The sequence below is a fragment of the Homo sapiens genome, chromosome 9 (assembly GCF_000001405.40).
Source record: "Homo sapiens chromosome 9, GRCh38.p14 Primary Assembly".
Classification (NCBI taxonomy): domain Eukaryota; kingdom Metazoa; phylum Chordata; class Mammalia; order Primates; family Hominidae; genus Homo; species Homo sapiens.
In genome coordinates this window covers 21,477,990-21,499,423 of record NC_000009.12, presented here as the reverse complement: position 1 = coordinate 21,499,423, position 21,434 = coordinate 21,477,990, and the positions used below count along the sequence as shown (strand labels likewise).

The 21,434-nt window shown below is 38.7% G+C and overlaps 1 protein-coding gene and 1 long non-coding RNA gene across 5 annotated transcripts in view, besides 1 other annotated feature; both read left to right on the top strand.

The window, feature by feature from the left end:
- MIR31HG (MIR31 host gene) overlaps positions 1 to 21,434 on the top strand; it is a 105,531-nt gene that overhangs the window by 60,375 nt on the left and 23,722 nt on the right. The window lies entirely within an intron of this gene.
- Positions 11,555 to 12,144: an enhancer, noted in NCBI's record as "OCT4-NANOG-H3K27ac hESC enhancer chr9:21487279-21487868 (GRCh37/hg19 assembly coordinates)". NCBI's record gives its function as "activates a minimal SCP1, AML or CMV promoter by ChIP-STARR-seq in naive H9 embryonic stem cells {active_cell/tissue: H9 hESC(naive)}" and the evidence as "EXISTENCE:reporter gene assay evidence [ECO:0000049][PMID:30033119]".
- IFNE (interferon epsilon) lies at positions 17,111 to 18,585 on the top strand. Its single transcript, NM_176891.5, has one exon. It carries the CDS (start codon positions 17,730 to 17,732, stop codon positions 18,354 to 18,356), a length of 627 nt encoding a protein of 208 aa, NP_795372.1. The 5' UTR covers positions 17,111 to 17,729; the 3' UTR covers positions 18,357 to 18,585.

The following is a 21,434-nucleotide window of genomic DNA, read 5'->3' as shown; positions in this document are numbered from 1 at the left end:
GTAAAACACTGACACATCCAGTATGTTGTTTCTTCCAAGAGAAAAACAGAGCATTAATTCCAAGGTAAAGTTGACTTGCTATATTTCCTAAATTATATTGGTAGATCCTTTTCTGTGATGATTTCCACCTAGAATGCCTGTTACCTTTTTTAGGTCAGAAGAGCAGTATTCATTAAGACTTTGCATGCTATTCAGAGAAAAATATGTTCATTGATATCATCTGACCCACCCAGGACCAACCCCCTACACACACACACACACACACACATGCACACACACACACACTCAGACACACACACACCACATCACACCACACCATAACTTTTCCTGAGCCTGGGTCAGGCCTTCTAATCAGCAATATTTCTTTAGTTTCTTGAATATACATGAGAATTTTAGGGTTTTTCTCTATCAGCTATGGAAAAAAGATTTATGTGCCTATGTGTCAAGCAACATGGTAATACTTTCTTACCTGTAGTATCAATTATTGCTTTGTATGAAGTAGGCCTTTCTATGTTGATTTAACAGATGAAGGAATAAACTCAGTTTCCGAAGACTCATGTAGGTTTACCTAGTTGATAAGTTACAGAGCTAGAATTTGAGCCTCTGTCTATTTTGATTCTAAAACTGTTCTTTTCCTTGTGTCATGGCCATTTGTCCCTCTACTCATGGTCCCTCTGTTTGGGGTGACATGCATGCTTTTGTTGTTAGCTGTGGCTTTTTACAGAGCACCATACAATGGAATGCACCATGGAAAACGATAATACCTTACAGTCACATGGAGCTGACTTTTAATTTTATTTACTATCAATTGTCTTTGTTTGTTGTATTTGGCTATCTAATGACCTTTACAGATATTGTATTTTATATCTTGAACATTTGTTTCAAGATTTCATTTATTTTTATACTTAATTTCTTGTATATCTTTGAATACATGGAGCCTATTTATGATAGCAGTTTAATATTTTTGCTAATTCTATCATCTCATTTATTTTCTATTAATTTTTCTCCTGATTATAGTTTATATATTCTTATTTCCTGTGTCTGGTAGTTTTTTTTAATTGAATGCCAGTTATTGTGATTGTATGTTTTTGTGTGACGGATTTTGTTGTATTCCTTTAAACAGGTTGGATTTTGTTTCAGTAGGCAGCTATGGTAATTGTGGATTAGTTTGATTAAAGTCTTGTTTTTATGTTCTTTTAAGACAGATCTGTAGTAGTCTTTACTTTCGGGCTAATTTAGCCCCACATTTAAGTTTTAGCCCTTTTAGGGTCTTTTGCCCTGTGGCTGGTGGGAACTTGAACAATTTTCAGTCTTGAATGTGCGCTTAAGTTGTTTGGCTTAAAGCTCCCCAGCAATTATTCTTTCTTTGGAGGTTGTACTTGCTGGGCCTCATAGGGCTTTACCCAGTGCATGTACACATTAGCATTTACCAAAGACTCAAGGGGACCCTTATAAAAAAATTCTAGAACTCTTTTTCTGGGTAGCTCACTTCTTTTGGGTACTCTGTCTTGCAAATTTCATATGCTTTGGCTTCCTCAGACTTTTATCTCTGTCTCCTGAACTGAGAGAGATTGCTCAGAAAGGGTCCTCCTCCCTGCAACACAGTCTAAAAATTGCCCCCAGGCAAAAAGCCTCATTTGTTTCCCATCTCTCAGGGATCACAGTCCTGGATTGGCTATTCTTCAATGACTGAAAATAGTTGTTTCCTATATTTTGTTTAGTTTTTAAATTGTTTGTAGAGGGAGGGTAATTCTTGACCCTGTCAGTCCCTCATGACCAGAAGTAGAAATCCCAGCTGACCATGTTTGGAAATGTTAACTTTTCTAAATCATAGGTTTCTTTTATTTTCATTTTTAAAATGATCTTATTATCATAAGACCTGCCTCTCAAGAATATTATAAAGATTAGAAATAACATTATATTTATTCTCTCAATAATGCACACAACATTTGGATTTAATATGTCAGTAGCTCAGTTTCCTTATTTGTGCAATGGGGATAATAATAGTACTTCATAAGGTAGTTTTGTGGATTAAATAAATTATTAATAATATTTGTGATTCCTTTAGACAAATGCCTAGCACATAGTAAGAGTATTAAGTGTCAATAAAATAATTTTGGACAGCCAAGGGTGTGTTGTCTACTCCCAGAAATAAAACAATCTCATGGTTAATCAACAGTGAACACACCTAGAGTTAGAGAACATTCAAACTATCTCTTAACTTCTTTTAATGAGATGTTTTTCAGTCCACAGAGATCCATCTCAGATGGTTGTCCAGGGTTTCATATCTCTCATCTCCCCCACTCCATTTTCCCTCTGTCTTAATCTCTCCTCCCTTTTCTGTTCATGTTTTTGGTTCACTCTTGGACACATGATGAAACATTCTCAGAATCATGATGGTCATACTTGCCTACATCTTTTTTAGAGTGTTCATGTACCTTTTAACATTTACCTTTAAAAAGCTTAGGTTTTTAAATTTTGTCACAATGGAGCATCTGTAGGATAAATTTTTCTCTTGATAACTAGGCCACTTCTTGTAACTTTGACGTGTTGTTATGCTAAGAGTCTCTGTTTCTTTACTATATTTTACCGGAGAATCCTGCTGAGGATTAAGAGGGAAAGAAAAGAATTAGATGATGAGGACCAAATACATAAAGCTCTTCAAGAAGTGTCTTATACATAATATATACTCAGTAAGTAATGGCTGTTATTTCGATATCACCATTTGAGTGGACATACAAGTGACACTGTACATCTAACAGTGTGACTTGTGTATTAAATATTACATTGTACGTAAAGTGTTAAGACTAAAGACTAATATTAAGACTTAAACATGAGCAGAGGGTTTGGGGAGAACTACGTTGCCCCTGAATTTGATAATCTATGTACAATTCAAACTTATGTGTTGTAGATCATGGGGTCTAATACTTCTACAGCTCTCTTACCAATATCCTAGAATCCCTTGTTTCATTGTCATTCAGTTGACTCTCACCTGCCAAAGTCCCAACCTTGGATGGACTGTGAATCTTCTCTGCTTATTTAAATCAAGACAAATTGGTGCCTCTATTAATTTAGTTCACCAATCTATGTAAGCAGATACTCAATATTGCTCTCCTGTCTTTGTCAACTCTCCCTCACATTCTTTCTATCACAACCCTAAAATTTGCCCCCTCCCTTCAAGTTTAGAACACCTCTTTCTCCTCTATTGAATAAGTTCATTTATTCATTCAATATTTATGGGATATTTATTGGGTGTCTACTGTATTTTGGGCTGGAATGTAGTGTGCTACACTGTGTGGCTGCACTGTAAGCAAAATACAGAAACGGATAGGACCCTCTGAAGGGAGAGAGAGAAATTAGTCAAATGGTCACAAATCTTATAGACTATAATGATAGCTATGAATGGAGCTATAAGCCCATGTGTAAGAGCATGTCAGCTGGGTGAAGAGGAGTTGAATTGGGAGACAAGACAGGTTTCAAAGCAAAGAAAATAGAATGTGCCAGGGCACATGTTAATCTCATAGATGGTCCATCACGTGCTCTAGTCTTCCACTTCAAGAAAACAAATAGAAACCACCAGAATGAAACACTGAGCTTCCTCTTCTAAACCTGCACTCAAACCTGTGTTGATCCTATTCTTTTCTCCTTCCTGTTACAGACCAAGCCCAACATGAGGCTCTGGTTCCATTTCTTCCCTACTCTACTGGTTTCTTCTAATCAACAGAGAATATTTCTCACTTTAAAAAACAAAACAAGATAAAAAACAAAACTTGCCAAGACTGAACCTCTCACTCCTATTTTCAGTTAATTTTTCTCTTCGATGTAGTGATCAAATTTTTGTGGGCATATCCTATATCATTTTGTTGTTTATTTCCATTTCCTCTTATAAGAATTGAAATCTGGCTTCCACCCTAATACTCCATTGAAAATTCCGTTTGCCAAAGTCACTGATAATGTCCATGTAATTAACTTCAACATATGTTTTCAAGTACTTACTTTTCTTGCCCACTTAGTGGTGTGTGACACTGTTACACAATCCTTTGTTCTTGAAAACTGGTTTTCCTTCTGATCTAGACACTCTTTTTTTTTGAGACGAAGTCTTGCTCTTGTCCCCCAGGCTGCAGTGCGATAGCGCAATCTCGGCTCACTGCAACCTTTGCCTCCTGAGTTCATGCGATTCTCTTGCCTCAGCCTCCTGAGTAGCTGGGATTACAGGCACCCACCACCATGCCTGGCTAATTTTTGTATTTTCAGTAGAGACAGGGTTTCACCATGTTGGCCAGGCTGGTCTCGAACTCCTGACCTCAGGTGATCCACCCGCCTCAGCCTCCTAAAGTGCTGGAATTACAGGTGTGAGCCACTGCACCTGGCCTAGACATTGTTTATTTCACTTTTTGGTCTCCTCTTCTACTCATTGCTTAAATATTGGTGTTTCTTGGGGATTGATCTTGAGCAATTTGTTTGTGTCATTCTGTATACAGAAGGTCAATAACTTTAGAAAAAAAGAGATGCTCGTAATTGATTTTACTCTGGTATACATCTGCATTATAGAATGCTATAACAGGGGTCACCAATCCCCAGGCCACAGTCCGGTACTGCTCCATTGCCTGTTAGGAACCAGGGCCACACAGCAGGAGGTGAGCAGCGGGTGAGTGCGCAAAGCTTCATCTGTATTTACAGCAACTCCCCACTGCTCACATTACCTCTTGAGCTCTGCCTCCTGTCAGATCAGTGGCAGCACTAGATTCTCTCATAGGAGTGCGAACCCTGTTGTGAACTAGGCATAGGAGGGATCTAGGTTGCGTGCTCCCTGTGAGAATCTAGTGCCTGATGATCTGTCACTGTCTCCCATCACCTCCAGATGGGAAATATAGTTTCCCTCCAAATGAGAAAGATAGTTGCAGGAAAGCAAGCTCAGGGCTCCCACTGGTTCTACATTATGGTGAGTTGTATAATTATTTTTAGTATACATTACAATATAATAGTAATAGAAATAAAGTGCACAATAAATGTGATGTGCTTGAATCATCCCGAAACCATTCCCCCACCCTGGTCTATGGAAAAAATTATCTTCCACAAAACAGGTTCCTGGTGCCAAAAAGGTTGGGGACTGCTGTGCTATGTCATTTGCTTATACTCTACTATTTCTCCCCTTTTACCCTACCTAATCCAATCAAACTCCATTCCAGGGATCTTTATCTCTGTTTAACTGAACAGGGCCTGGAGCAATGCTAGGACCATAATAAGCAATCAATAAACATTTCTTGAATGAATTAATAACATGAGGACCAATACATGTCATCTAAGTGCTTCTAGAGTATGTACACACTTGGTTCTTCTTTCTTTGAATTAATTGACATTTGTTGAAAAAGCAGTTAATAGAAAATGGGCTTCATCTTATTTCCAGCTGTGACTGATTAATAGGGGCTACCCTCAGAGCATTTTGAAAGTACTTACCTAGAGCTTGATGGAACAGACTGCCGTTATCTATTAATAATATCATTTTAGCATAAATGATATTTTAATAATAACATAAATAATAACATTTATTATGCATGGCTTACATGCCATGCACTATACTAAACATATTAGGTGGATTATCTCAATTAGATTTCACAACAACTCCAAGAGACACCATTATTATACTTGTCTTAACATTGATGAAACTGAGACACAGAGAAGTTAATAGCTTGCTAAAAACCACACAGCAAGCAAGTAGTAGAGTTGGGGTTTAAACCTATTCTGTTGCACATTAAAGCCCATGTGCTGAGTATCATGTTATACAATTTTCATGAGAAGTGGTGGTCTTTTCCTTTCTACTGTGCTTTTGCCATTCTTGGCCTAAATTATGAAGAGGGAAAGGGAGAACAGTATAGTTGATGATAGTGTACAAAAAGAAGGCTATTCTGCTCTGTTAGACCTCTGTCATCATGTCTCAAATGTGGATTATTTAGTTAAAAAATACAAACACACTTTTTATCCTTTGAAATAATCATGAAAGTTGAAAATACAGGAGAGAGAATCTTATTTTTGAAATAATTTAAGTTGCCAAGCTGATGCACCAATACTGTCAAATACTTTAATGTGTGTTTCCTACCAACAGAGATATTTTCCCTGCATAACCACAACAAAATTCAGAAATTAACATTGTTACGTTAGCACCATATGATACTCAGTGTTCGTATTTAGATTTGTAGTCCCAATAATCCAATAATATTCTTTTTTTTTTTTGAAATGGAGTCTTGTTCTGTCACCCAGGCTGGAGTGCAGTGGCATAATCTCAGTTTACGGCACTCTCCACCTCTCAGGTTCAAGCTATTCTCCTGCCTCAGCCTCCCAAGTAGCTGGGATTACAGGCACCCGTCACCACACCCAGCTAATTTTTGTATTTTTGGTAGAGATGGGGTTACACCATGTTGGCCAGGCTGGTTTCAAACTCCTGACCTCAGGTGATACACCCGCCTCAGCCTCCAAAAGTGCTGGGATTACAGGTGTGAGCCACGGTGCTTGGACCCTATAATATTCCTAGTAGCAAATGGATCCTGTTCAGAATCATGCTATGCATTCAGTTGCTATATTCTTTAGTCTCTTATAGTCTGGAGCAGTTGCTGGGTCTTTGTTGATTTTCATGACCTTGAACGATTACAGGGCAATTGTTTTACAGAATATTTCTCCTCACTCCACTCAAGTTATGACTCCCCACAGCAGCCCCGCTCCACGGATGCTCTAATCACTCTTAGGCTGTGACACCCATGCCAGGTTCTCTCTCCACATAAACAGTCACCTTTGCCTGTCTGAGCTCCAGCAGTGTGGCTTCCTGCCCTTTCCAGCAAAATGCTTACATTGTTTTGTCCATCTATTGTCTTTAGGACTGAATTTTTCAAAAAGGGAAAGGGAAGCAGAGATTAGATATCAATTTAAGATCAATTCCAGCTCCAGAATTCTATGATAGATAAATTAATATGGTCAAATATTTGAAAGTTTATGCTCAGAAAATGGAGTAGAGCTGTGTCGATACCATTGGGAAAAATAACCATATCTGAAATAATAACTGAGGCCAGAGCAAAGGGAGGCGCTGAGTAGCTTGGGATAGGGCTAGATGTGGCACCCTGTGTGTGGCACGCTGGAGAGTCTGGCCAGAGCACAAGATCCCAGAGTGGTCAGAGAAGTTAGAATATGTTTACAGACGCCCCCACCCCCCGACCCCCAGAAAGGGAGAGGAGGTAGTAGATGGCCAGAAAGCAAGGCATGTCCATTAGAGTGGTCAAGGCAAAAAAGGAAAATATAACAATACTAACCAGCAAGTATCTTAATATGGATTAGACAGACTAGTGAGCTAATGTGTTATGGGAACAATACACCTGGTCTGAGTAATGTATTGCTGATCATACATTATCAGACCACTAGATACCATTAATTTGTGATATCTTACCAACAGCAAAGTTTATCCCAGGCTCTAAGTAATTGATATTATGCTGCCATCCTTTGGTTGAATTTAAAATGCCTCGTTTACTAACTGGAACTGTTTTTGTGTGTTTTAAACAGAGGGTATCACAATTTTAATTACATTTTTTAGATTGACAGTAATGATAAATAATTTATGGAGACAAGTGAATAAATAAAACTTGATACTTATGTAATAAATTTAAAAGTCATTGAAAAGCCCATTCTAGCTAAAGATGAACTACCAGTCGTTTGTTTAATTTATTTTAGAGACTTCGTCATACTGACTGATACTTAAGATTTAGCCCTTTTTTCATCATCATGACACTTTCCATTGTCTTTCTCTAAGCAATGTAAGCATGCAGTGAATTTCCTTAATACCATCCTTAGATTCAGACAAGAGTGACCTATGCTCTACTCTAGGTCTTGCCCTTTTGAGAAACCTGAATATCAGACATGATTCAATTTATACAACACATGTGTATGCACACACGGAAGTGCACATACACACACATGCATAGACACACACAACATTTTAAAAAAGCATCTAGTACCCACATCACTTAGGATCTGGTACTCAGTGCTCACATATGGCCCAATAACTCTAAATATACATGCTCATTAGTAATTCCATTTGGTACCCAGGGAGATATTTCTCCACATCTCTTGCTTTCAGTCCCCTACAAAAAATTGACTGTACCTGATGCCATGAAGGAGACGTTGCCTTGGAATGTAGGGGATTTGAGCTGCAGAGGAAAGAGAAGACACATTAATTGCCTAGTAAACCCTTCCTCAAGGACAGCAGGAACGCAATAGATTCTTACAAAATGAAATACCATGTCTCAATAGTCCCCAGTGTCCATTCTCTTGCTTGTCTTTACGTAACAATTAGTGATTCAGCTGTTTGGTGGTCTCTTCACACGGACGCGCATGAAATTTGGTGCCTTGACTCGGAACAGGGGACCTCCCTTGGGAGATCAATCCCCCATCCTCCTGCTCTTTGCTCTGTGAGAAAGATCCACCTACGACCTCAGGTCCTCAGACCAACCAGCCCAAGGAACATCTCACCAATTTCAAATCCGGTAAGCGGCCTCATCTTACTCTCTTCTCCAACCTCTCTCACTGTCCCTCAACCACTTTCTCCTTTCCACTCTTCAATCTCTCCCTTCTCTTAATTTCAATTCCTTTCATTTTCTGGGAGAGACAAAGGAGACACGTTTTATTCATAGACCCAAAACTCCGGCGCCGGTCACGGATTGGGAAGGCAGCCTTCCCTTGGTGTTTAATCATTGCAGGGACGCCTCTCTGATCATTCAGCCATGTTTCAAGGGTGTCAGACCACGCAGGGACGCCTGCCTTGGTCCTTCACCCTTAGCGGCAAGTCCCGCTTTTCTGGGGAAGGGGCAAGTACCTCAACCCCTTCTCTCCTTGTCTCTACCCCTTCTCTGCTTTTCTGGGAGAGGGGCAAATAGCCCTCAACCTCTTCTCTCCTTGTCTCTACCCCTTCTCTGCTTTCCTGGGGCAGGGGCAAGTACCCCTCAACCCCTTCTCCTTCACCCTTAGCGGCGAGTCCCGCTTTCCTAGGGGGCAAGAACCCCCAACCGCTTATTTCCATGCCCCAACCTCTTATCTCTGCGCCCCAACCTCTTATCTCTGCACCCCAATCGCTTATTTCCATGCCCCAACCTCTTATCTCTGCGCCCCAATCCCTTATTTCTGTGCCCCAACCCTTTCTCTGCTTTTCTGGAGGGCAAGAAACCCCCACCCCTTCTCCGTGTCTCTACTCTTTTCTCTGGGCTTGCCTCCTTCACTATGGGCAAGCTTCCACCTTCCATTCCTCCTTCTTCTCCCTTAGCCTGTATTCTTAAGAACTTAAAACCTCTTCAATCCTCACCTGACCTAAAACCTAAATGCCTTATTTTCTTCTGCAATGCCGCTTGACCCCAATACAAACTCGACAGTAGTTCCAAATAGCCAGAAAATGGCACTTTGAATTTTTCCATCCTGCAATATCTAAATAATTCTTGTCGTAAAATAGGCAAACGGTCTGAGGTGCCTGACATCCAGGCATTCTTTTACACATCAGTCCCTTCCTAGTCTCTGCGCCCAGTGCAACTCGTCCCAAATCTTCCTTCTTTCCCTCCCGCCTGTCCCCTCAGTCCCAACCCCAAGCGTCGCTGAGTCTTTCTAATCTTCCTTTTCTACAGACCCATCTGACCTCTCCCCTCCTCGCCAGGCCGAGCTAGGTCCCAATTCTTCCTCAGCCTCCGTTCCTCCACCCTATAATCTTTTTATCGCCTCCCCTCCTCACACCTGGTCGGGCTTACAGTTTCGTTCCGTGACTAGCCCTCCCCCACCTGCCCAGCAATTTACTCTTAAAAAGGTGGCTGGAGCCAAAGGCATAATCAAGGTTAATGCTCCTTTTTCTTTATCCCAAATCAGATAGCGTTTAGGCTCTTTTTCATCAAATATAAAAACCCAGCCCAGTTCATGGCTCGTTCGGCAGCAACCCTGAGATGCTTTACAGCCCTAGACCCTAAAAGGTCAAAAGGCCATCTTATTCTCAATATACATTTTATTACCCAATCTGCTCCCAACATTAAATAAAACTCCAAAAATTAAATTCCGGCCCTCAAATCCCACAACAGGATTTAATTAACCTTGCCTTCAAGGTGTACAATAATAGAAAAAAGTTTCAACTCCTTGCCTCCACTGTGAGACAAACCCCAGCCACATCTCCAGCACACAAGAACTTCCAAACGCCTGAACCGCAGCGGCCAGGCATTCCTCCAGAACCTCCTCCCCCAGGAGTTTGCTGCAAGTGCCAGAAATGTGGCCACCAGGCCAAGGAATGCCTGCAGCCCAAGATTCCTCCTAAGCCGTGTCCCATCTGTGCGGGACCCCACTGGCAATCGGACTGTCCAACTCACCTGGCAGCCACTCCCAGAGTCCCTGGAACTCTGGCCCAAGGCTCTCTGACTGCTTCCCAGATCTTCTTGGCTTAGCGGCTGAAGACTGACGCTGCCCGATCGCCTCGGAAGCCCCCTAGACCATCACGGACGCCAAGCTTCGGGTAACTCTCACAGTGGAAGGTAAGTCTGTCCCCTTCTTAATCAATACGGAGGCTACCCACTCCATATTACCTTCTTTTCAAGGGCCTGTTTCCCTTGCCCCCATAACTGTTGTGGGTATTGACGGCCAGGCTTCTAAACCTCTTAAAACTCCCCAACTCTGGTGCCAACTTAGACAATACTCTTTTAAGCACTCCTTTTTAGTTATCCCCACCTGCCCAGTTCCCTTATTAGGCTGAGACATTTTAACCAAATTATCTGCTTCCCTGACTATTCCTGGACCATAGCCGCATCTCATTGATGCCCTTCTTCCCAATCCAAAGCCTCTTTTGCGTCCTCCTCTTGTATTCCCCCATCTTAACCCACAAGTATAAGATACCTCTACTCCCTCCTTGGCGACCGATCATGCACCCCTTACCATCTCATTAAAACCTAATCACCCTTACCTGGCTCAATGCCAATATCCCATCCCACAGCATGCTTTGAAAGGATTAAAGCCTGTTAACACTTGCCTTCACTTAGACTGACCCTGACACCCATTAGGCTCAGCAAATTACCTGGGCTATACTGCCGCAAGGCTTCACAGACAGCCCCCATTACTTCAGTCAAGCCCAAATTTCATCCTCATCTGTTAGTCATACTCCTATTCACCGTTCTCAACTACTCATACATGCCCTGCTCTTGTTTACACTGCTGGTTTACACTGTTTCTCCAAGCCATCGCAGCTGATATCTCCTGGTGCTATCCCCAAACTGCCACTCTAAACTCTTGAAGTAAATAAATAATCTTTGCTGGCAGGACTATGCTGAATCTCCTTAGGCACTCTCTAATTAGATGTCCTAGGTCCTCCCAATTCTTAGTCCTTTTATACCTGTTTTTCTCCTTCTCTTATTCCATTTAGTTTGTCACTTCATCCAAGACCGTATCCAGGCCAACCAATCATTCTATATGACAGATGTTTCTTCTAACATCCCCACAATATCACCCCTTACCACAAGACCTCCCTTCAGCTTAATCTCTCCCACTCTAGGTTCCCACGCCGCCCCAATCCCGCTTGAAGCAGCCCTGAGAAACATCGCCCATTCTCTGTCCATATCACCCGCCAGAAATTTTTGCCGCCCCAACACTTCACTATTTTGTTTTATTTTTCTTATTAATATAAGAAGGCAGGAATGTCAGGCCTCTGAGCCCAAGCCAAGCCATTGCATCCCCTGTGACTTGCACGTATACGCCCAGATGGCCTGAAGTAACTGAAGAATCACAAAAGAAGTGAACATGCCCTGCCCCACCTTAACTGATGACATTCCACCACAAAAGAAGTGTAAATGGCCAGTCCTTGCCTTAAGTGATGACATTACCTTGTGAAAGTCCTTTTCCTGGCTCATCCTGGCTCGAAAAGCACCCCCACTGAGCACCTTGCGAACCCCCACTCCTGCCCACCAGAGAACAAACCCCCTTTGAGTGTAATTTTCCTTTACCTACCCAAATCCTATAAAACGGCCCCACCCTTATCTCCCTTCCCTGACTCTTTTCGGACTCAGCCCGCCTGCACCCAGGTGAAATAAAGAGCCATGTTGCTCAAAAAAAAAAAAAAAAAAAAAAAACAATTAGTGATTCAGGAGGGACTCATAAATTATGATGGGCATTGGCAATAGTTGTACATGGAGGCTGGAAAATATTTCTCAATATTAATCAATTTATTTTACTCTTAAATCTTAATTTATGTTGGTCTAGACATATGCTGGAAGTGTGATACATTTTTTTTTACATTGTTATCCATATGAACCTTGTAAGATAGAATTGCATGTAATTTTACTTTTATAAACATTTTTAATGCTTAATACGTTTTTAATTAAAAGGTTAAGTATATGCTTTATTTAAATACTGTCAGTTTAAATTTGATATTAATTATACCACACATGTTGTCTTTTAATTTTGATAGATAACATTGTATAAAATATTTCATGTTTTTTGAAAATATAAAATATGTAATATTTTTAACATTTACTTTAGATTACATTTTTTGTGAAAACATTTTCAAAATTTCTAGACTTTGAATACAATTATATTTTGTTTTTAATCTTTTAGATCAGGGTTCAGCAAACCTTTCTGTAAAAGACCAGAGAGTAAATATTTCAGGTTTTGTAGACCATATAGTTCCTATCACAACTATTCAGCCTTGCTATTGTAGCATGAAAGTGCCATAACAAATGAGCATCATTGTGTTCTAGTAAAACTTTATTTACAAAAGTAGGTGGTAGGCCAGATGCAGTGGCTCACGCCTGTAATTCCAGCACTTTGGGAGGCCAAGGCGGGCAGATCACGAGGTCAGGAGATCGAGACCATCCTGGCTAAAACAGTGAAACCCCATCTCTACTAAAAATATAAAAAAATTAGCTGGGTGTGGTGGTGGGCGCCTGTAGTCCCAGCTACTTGGGAGGCTGAGGCAGGAGAATGGCGTGAACCTGGGAGGCGGAGCTTGCGGTTAGCCGAGATCAAGCCACTGCACGCCAGCCTGGGCGACAAAGCAAAACTCCATCTCAAAAAAAAAAAAAAAAAAAAAAAAAAAGAAGAAGCAGGAGGTGGTAGGACAGATTTGGTCCATAGGCTATAGTTTGCCAACTCCCACTTTAGATTATTTATAATGAGAGAACCTCCACTTCTAGTCATGAGGGACAACTAGATTTATCATCTCACTTTGAACAACTAGAATACTGAGTAAAATATACGAAAAATAGTTTTTAGACATTGGATAACAGACAGCGTAAGATAATGATCCTTGAGAGAAAGGAAAGAAATACAGTAAGCCCTACAATTGCTCCAGCTTAATGCTGGATAGAAAATTGGCAGGCTGCAGCACAAAGAGGAGGAAACTCCAACAGACCAGTGTTCTCAATGAGTTGATATGTCATAGTTTGGAGTTCAGGGAGGCAGAAAAATATTGGAGAAGATATTGCTGCACAGAGGGAAATTGGGGAAGAATGAATGAGAGCTACGAAGATCTGTAAAAATGTCTTCAGGAGTCTTTAGCTAATGTGTGGTTTGTGTATGTGCGTAAAGGAGTTACCCGATTAGGAAAAGAACACCCAGAAAGGAGCAGGCAGTACAGGCTGTCCCCAGTGCTAACACAGGGCTGGGGATATTTCATGTTTCCAGCAGCCAGAGGGCAAAAATCTCCAAATTCAGAGAGCATTAAGTAGAGTCCTCAAAAGACTATATTCTTGGTTACAAAGGCATTGCCCTAAATTATAAAGTCTGCTTCACTCATGCTAACAAAGCCAATGTCAGAGGAATCCAATTCCAAGTAACTCAACTATACCCTAAAACAAAGTTCAACTGTACGTAAAGGACTTAACAAATCCAACTCCCATTAAAGTAAAATTTACAATGCTCAGAATCCACTCAAAAGTTACCAAACATGCAAAAGACATAGGAAAATAGGACCCATAAAGAGTAGAAATATAATTGACAAGACCAGACTCAGAAATGACACAAATGATAGAATTATCAGAAAAGGAGATTAAACACCTACTATAAATGTACTCCATATGCTCAAGAATGTAGAGGAAAAGATGAATGTGATGAGGAAAGAAATGTAGATATGAAAAAGAAACAAATTCAACTTCTACAAATGAAAGTATAATATCTGAAGTGATAAATATACTGGATGGGATTAACTGTAGATAAGATACTACCAAAGGAAATACCAATAAGCTTGAAGGCAGACTTAGAAACTATTAGAAATAAGACAGAGGAAAAGACTAAAAAGTAAATGAGCAAAGCTTCAGGGAACTGTGTGATAATATTAAACAGTCAAACACATCTAGAGATGTAGTCCCAGAAGAGATTAGGAAGGAGGGAATGGTAATAGAAAAATGTTAAAAGAAATAAAGTCTGAAACTTTTTCAAATTTGATGAAAATGATAAAATCATGGATTCACAAAGCTCAAAAAAAACCTTGTAAAAGAGACAAGAAGAAAATCACACCAAAGCACATTATTATCAAATTTCTAGAAAATAGTGATAGTAAATCTTAAAAGCTGCCAGAGAAAAAGAAGAAACATTATGCACAGAGGAATAAAATTAAGAATGACCACAGTCTTCTCTTCAGAAATTATGCAAGCCAGAATAGAGTAGAGCAACATCTTTACAGTTCTTAAAGAAAAAATATATCAACTTAGAATTCTATACCCAGCAAAAATATATTTCAAAAAGAAGACACAATACTTTTTCAGACAGACAAAAGCCAAGAGAGTTTATTTCCAGGGGACGTGTAATATAAGAAATATTAGTGAAAGTAGTGTAAAGAATGAGAGAGAGGAAATATAAGGATACTGTTATAATATCCCTACACTGTACCTTAAGTGGATTGTAATATTATTTGAAGGTAAACTGTAATATGTTAAATAAAGATGTATATTTTTAATCCTAGAGAAACTGCTATGAAAACAAAAAGTAAAACAAAGTGGTATTACTAACAAGCCAATAATGGAGATAAAATGGGCAATAGAAAACAACAACAAAAATTCAATCCAAAAGAAGGAAGGAAAAGCTTAAAAGTGAGAAAAAGAACATATGGGCAGTTAGAAAACAAACAATAAAGTGGTAGATATAAACTGAGCCATACTGACAATTACATTAAATTTAATGACCTAAACACTCTAATAAAGCAAAGATTGTCAGACAGAATAAAATACAAGGTCCAACTATACGCTCTGTACAAGAAACTCACTTTAATATAATAACATGAATAAGTTAAATTAAAAGATGCAATAAAAGACATATTATGCTAACACTAATTAAAAAAACAGAAATGATTATCAGAGAAAGTTGATTTAGGAGTAAGGAATAATGCAAAGGATACAGAGGAACATTTTAAAATAAAGGGGTCAATTCATCAAGACGACATAATAATCCTAAATATGATGCACCTAATACTAAAGTTCTAAAATATATAAGGCAAAAACTGATAGAACTGAAATGGGAGATAGGCAAATCTAAAATTATACTAGGGATTTCAGCTCTTCTGTCTTGATAGTTGATAGAACAAATAGACCATCAGAAAGGATACAGAAAATTTCAAACACTTTCAATCAGCTTAACCTATTTGACATTTATAAAACAGTCCAACCAACAAAAGTAGAACATTATTATTTCAAGTTCACAAGGAACTGTCACCAAGATAAACCATATTCTAAGCCATAAAATAAGTCTCAATAAATTTAAACTACATTCTTTAACCACAACAGATTCAAATATGAAATCAGTAACAGAAAGGCATCTGGAAAATCCCTGATCATTTGGAAATTAAACAACATTTAGATCATTTTTGTCAATTGAATGAAAATGATGAGAAAGCCTTATAGATCAGAGCTCGTTGTTATTAGATGGAGTAACTTCTGATATTCTTAATTTATTTTTATATTGTTTTCCCGAAGCTCAGCATTAAATATTTAAAGATTTTTTGAGACTAGTCAAAATTCTACTTTCCAGATAGATTGAGCATAATGTTATGAAACAAGTGTTATTCCTTTCGTATATTATATATTATCATATGTCTTTTCTCTCTCTTTCTCTTTCTCTCTCTCTCTCTCTCTCTCTCTCTCTCTCAGATAGGGAGGGAAAAGACCCTCTGTGGAGCATGCTGACTGAGTTTATTTCAACTTATTAATACTAGACTAAGTGACCAAACATACAGCTGAGCTGGTATATAATGAGACCATACATGTTTACAGAGTGCCTGTTTTTGACATTTAGGGATTCACCCAGCTGCCTGCAGAGAAATGATTAAAGATAAGACTCAACATCTTGTATTACTTTGTGTAGAACATATTAATTTATTCCAAGTCAACACATATTTATTAAGCAACTACTATAGTTGTATAGACAGCAAAGAAATCAGTAATCAGTGTTTATTTCACACTCTGAAGAGACTTTTAATCATGTAAGTACATAGTCAAGTATAAGACAGAACAAGAAAGGTGTCTTAAATAAGGTAGGTACAAAGTGTTGTGGGGATCCAGAAGATTATGGCTCCTTGGGGGAGATCTGGGCCTTAAAGGACAAGTAGTCTTTAGTCCTTGCACAGAAAGGTTCTTGAGGTAAAGGAGGCAACAGTTGATGTTTCAGAGAAAGCATCATCAATAAACACACACACACACAAGTGCTAGCTGTATTAAGGGAATACTAAATCACTTACTTTATCTGGAGTTCAGATTCCTTCACACTATATTTAGAGCAACAGTGGGATAAGATTGGAAAGGTATATTGGGGGCTTATTCAAGAGGAACTTAGAATATGGAACTGGGTATTTGTAATTCAAAGGACATTGTTAATGTAGAGATGTTCACATTAGTTTACCAGAGCTATCACTATTCTAGGGAATATACGCTAACCAAATGCCCCCAATCTCTCTTCACATATAATTTTGTCATCTATAATGGATATATATCATTTAATTATATGGCTGTACCAACATATATGTAATCATTCACCTGTCGTTGAACCTATAGGTTGTTTCTAATATTCTGCTTTGCAATAATATTATAACACTCTTCTTTTGCTAATTTTTTTGCATTGCTTCTATAGGCTAGAATCTTAGATATTAAACTGATAGGATAAGATATAAAATAATTTAAGATTGCTGATATATGTTTTAAAATTAATTATTTGCTCAAGCATTTGTGACAATTTACAGTTCTAATTGAGGTTTTAAATTTAGTAGTTTGTAGGTATTTTAAGTTTTGCCCCTGAATTCTTTATAGGTGCTGATAAGCCTTTGGTAAGTTTTACTCCATGAAAGACTATTACTGAAAAAAACGTAATCTCAATAAAAGAACTTTAATAAGCTTGACTAAATATTTAGAAAGCACATTGTGTTCAGTGAAACTTTGTATATAATGAATAGAATAATAAAAGATTATGTTGGATGACTAGTCTGTAATTGCCTCAAGGAAAGCATACAATGAATAAGTTATTTTGGTACTTCCTCAAAATAGCCAACACAATAGGGAAATGGAGAAAATGTACTCTGAACACCATGAAAAGGGAACCTGAAAATCTAATGTGTAAACTTGGAGAAATGACATTAGAAAACGAAAGCAACAAAAGAGAACACTCTCCAAAATAATCTGAGATGCATGAAAGGCAAACATTCACTAGAGCTGGAATTTCCCTAAGTCTATGCAGGGATAAGTAGCATATTTGACCTTCACCATGATTATCAAGCACTTCTTTGGAACTGTGTTGGTGCTGCTGGCCTCTACCACTATCTTCTCTCTAGATTTGAAACTGATTATCTTCCAGCAAAGACAAGTGAATCAAGAAAGTTTAAAACTCTTGAATAAGTTGCAAACCTTGTCAATTCAGCAGTGTCTACCACACAGGAAAAACTTTCTGCTTCCTCAGAAGTCTTTGAGTCCTCAGCAGTACCAAAAAGGACACACTCTGGCCATTCTCCATGAGATGCTTCAGCAGATCTTCAGCCTCTTCAGGGCAAATATTTCTCTGGATGGTTGGGAGGAAAACCACACGGAGAAATTCCTCATTCAACTTCATCAACAGCTAGAATACCTAGAAGCACTCATGGGACTGGAAGCAGAGAAGCTAAGTGGTACTTTGGGTAGTGATAACCTTAGATTACAAGTTAAAATGTACTTCCGAAGGATCCATGATTACCTGGAAAACCAGGACTACAGCACCTGTGCCTGGGCCATTGTCCAAGTAGAAATCAGCCGATGTCTGTTCTTTGTGTTCAGTCTCACAGAAAAACTGAGCAAACAAGGAAGACCCTTGAACGACATGAAGCAAGAGCTTACTACAGAGTTTAGAAGCCCGAGGTAGGTGGAGGGACTAGAGGACTTCTCCAGACATGATTCTTCATAGAGTGGTAATACAATTTATAGTACAATCACATTGCTTTGATTTTGTGTATATATATATTTATCTGTGTTTTAAGATTGTGCATATTGACCACAATTGTTTTTATTTTGTAATGTGGCTTTATATATTCTATCCATTTTAAATTGTTTGTATGTCAAAATAAATTCATTAATATGGTTGATTCTTCAAATGGGTGTATTTTCATACAGGCTGGCTGGGTAGATACAATAAAATATGCCACTAATGTAAAAATACTTTCCTTAACATAGAACTCCATTGCAATGATTTGCTTATTTGCCAGAAATTGCTAGAGACAATGAGAAATATTGGGAATAATTTGCATTTTAAGATTTGAAAATATTATTACACAGTGAATATTTACATTACAGGAGACACAATAGAAATATGGTGAAAGGACATGAACAGTTTGCAGAGAAAAAAAACTACATTAAAAGAGGTTCAATCTCACTCATGATAATAGAAATACAAATTAAATAGCATGCATGCCATTTATAGTACAACCACTATGGAGGCAATTAGGTGATATCTATTACAGATGCATGTAGCCTTTCATCTATAAATTCTAGGCCTGGAAATGTGTCCTATAAAAATACTTGCCCACAGCTGGGCGTGGTGGCTCAGGCCTGTAATCCTAGCACTTTGGGAGGCTGAGGAGGGTGGATCACAAGGTCAGGAGTTCGAGACCAGCCTGGCCAATATGGTGAAACCCTGTCTCTACTAAAAATACAAAAATTAGCCGGGCATGGTGGCGGGCACCTGTAGTCCCAGCTACTCGGAAGGCTGAGGCAAGAGAATCACCTGAACCTGGGAGGTGGAGGTTGCAGTGAGCCGAGATCATGCCACTGCACTCCAGCCTGGGCAACAGAGTGAGACTCTATCTCAAAACAAAACAAAACAACAACAACCACAACAACAAAAACTTGCCCACGTGTGAAATAACTTACAAACAATATTATTCTCTGCAGCACTATTAGTAATACCAAAAGTCAAGAAACCATCTCGATTTTCCTAATTAGAGACAGTTGAGGCATATTCATATAAAGGAACACTATTCAGCTGGAGAAACAAATGAGACGGTATTTCTTTTTAAAAAGTTGAAAATAGGCAAGATACAGAGCAGTGTACATAAAATGCTACATTTGGGGTGAAAATGTTAAATAAAACTTACGTTTGTCCTTACTGTGTATAAATAAAGAATAAGAAATAAATTACAATGATTACCTGTATTTAGGAGAAGAAGGAAGACTGAAGAAGGAGATTAGGGTGGGAGAGATTTTATAGCTCCTCTAAAAATTTTTATATTAAATTGTGTGAATATTACATATTAAGATAATAATTTAAAATGTATCTAACGAGTCACAGTTATCAGAAATATGCATGAGGGAGTCTGGCTGGTGAAGGTCAAAAGGAACAGGAGACTGAATTAGCCTGCCCCTGGTTGGGATGTCTGCTTGGAGGAGGGCTGGAGAGAAGCACACCCGTGCCAAGGGAGAGGGTTCCTGCTCCTGGGAGATGCCAGTGATGGAGGGATTCCAGCTCTTCTAGCCAGGAACTCTCAGAAGTCACCACGGAACAACGTGGGGGCAGAGAAACTAAAGTTGAGGCTTGGTGGCTATCCCACTTTCGTCCACTGTAAGGGAGCAGAGCCACAGCCCAAAACTCTGATGCTAGTTCTACTACCATGTGTCATGTTCTACGTCAGATGCATTGCATAATTGGAGGTAAAAGTTAGTAGTAAATGTAAAAACTTAGGAACGAAGCATACTCCAGTTCAGTTTAATTAATGCAAATGAGTAATGGCTGCTACTTTAGACTTGGTTTGAAAGGGAAGAGTAGGAACCGAATAGGATCCTGAAAGTGAGACAGTCACCTGCAATAGTGAAGAAGGGTAAGGAAGCAGAGGCTGTCAATCAGAAGCAAGTCTTTGCTGACTTCACATTGCAGCCAGGGGTTGATCTGTTTACCTTCAAATTCACACAAAGGTAGTGAAGTGGAGGAAGGAGAAATACCACAAGGAACTGCAAATATAAGTTACTTTTCTTCTCATGGTCTAGAAAATTTTTTGTTGTTCTTTAAACCAGGAAGTTTTTGGAACCAAATCCTTCATTTAACACATTATCCAATTTTCAAATTGACCTTACCAAGTGCCTTCTGTAATTATTTTTTTCTCAAGTGAGAACAAGACTGTAAAGGTGAAATAACATGCTCAAAGTAATGTAGCAAGCCACAGAGCTTGCAGATACCAGAGCAAAGATCTTATCCCAAGTCAGCCTGACTCAAAAGCCTGCACTGTGTTGTTGACAACTCAAACCTGAATAGCATTGTGAAATATCACTGCAAAATAATAATAACAATAATAATAATTTTCTCCTAGCTTTCTTTATTCAAGTTTACAATGGTCTCTGAAGTCTTGAATTAAAGAAAAGATATTTTCCTTTCTCTTGACATTGCTTCCTTAAGAACTGAGAACAGAATGGAGGAACTGTCAAATGGAAACGTTTAGAAAATAATACTCATATTTAGAAGTTTAAACTAATACTTTATATACTAATGTTTTCCCAAACATTTAGGTTTATTAAGTTGATATCCTGTTGTATAACCACCTCAATGCCTAGCACAAAATAAAAAATTGTTACTTCTAAATATGTGTGCCCTTTTAAAACTCCAAAACCAGAGTTCTAAACTTGGGAATATTGGGAAGGAGAGACGTATTAAAAGATTGGACTCCTGGCTTAGTAGCACATGGAAAGGCTTGGAGTATGGGTAGGTTCATTTGTATTTGCAGGCTGAGTTATATTTTTGTTACATCTATATGTATTGAGCTAAACAAATCATTAAATCCAAAAGCAGGTTACAAAATAATAACAGCATCATCATATTTTCTACAAATAAAACATTCATGAAAAGTATATGAAAAGAAATGCATGAAAATGTTCATAGTACTACTGTCTTTGGGATAGAATTTACATTCACTTAAACTTTTTGGATTAAATATTTCTCCCATGAATAAGGATTCCT

Excerpts from the sequence above, each read along its gene's own strand:
- IFNE (NM_176891.5), top strand. The coding sequence starts at position 17,730 with ATGATTATCAAGCACTTCTTTGGAACTGTGTTGGTGCTGCTGGCCTCT.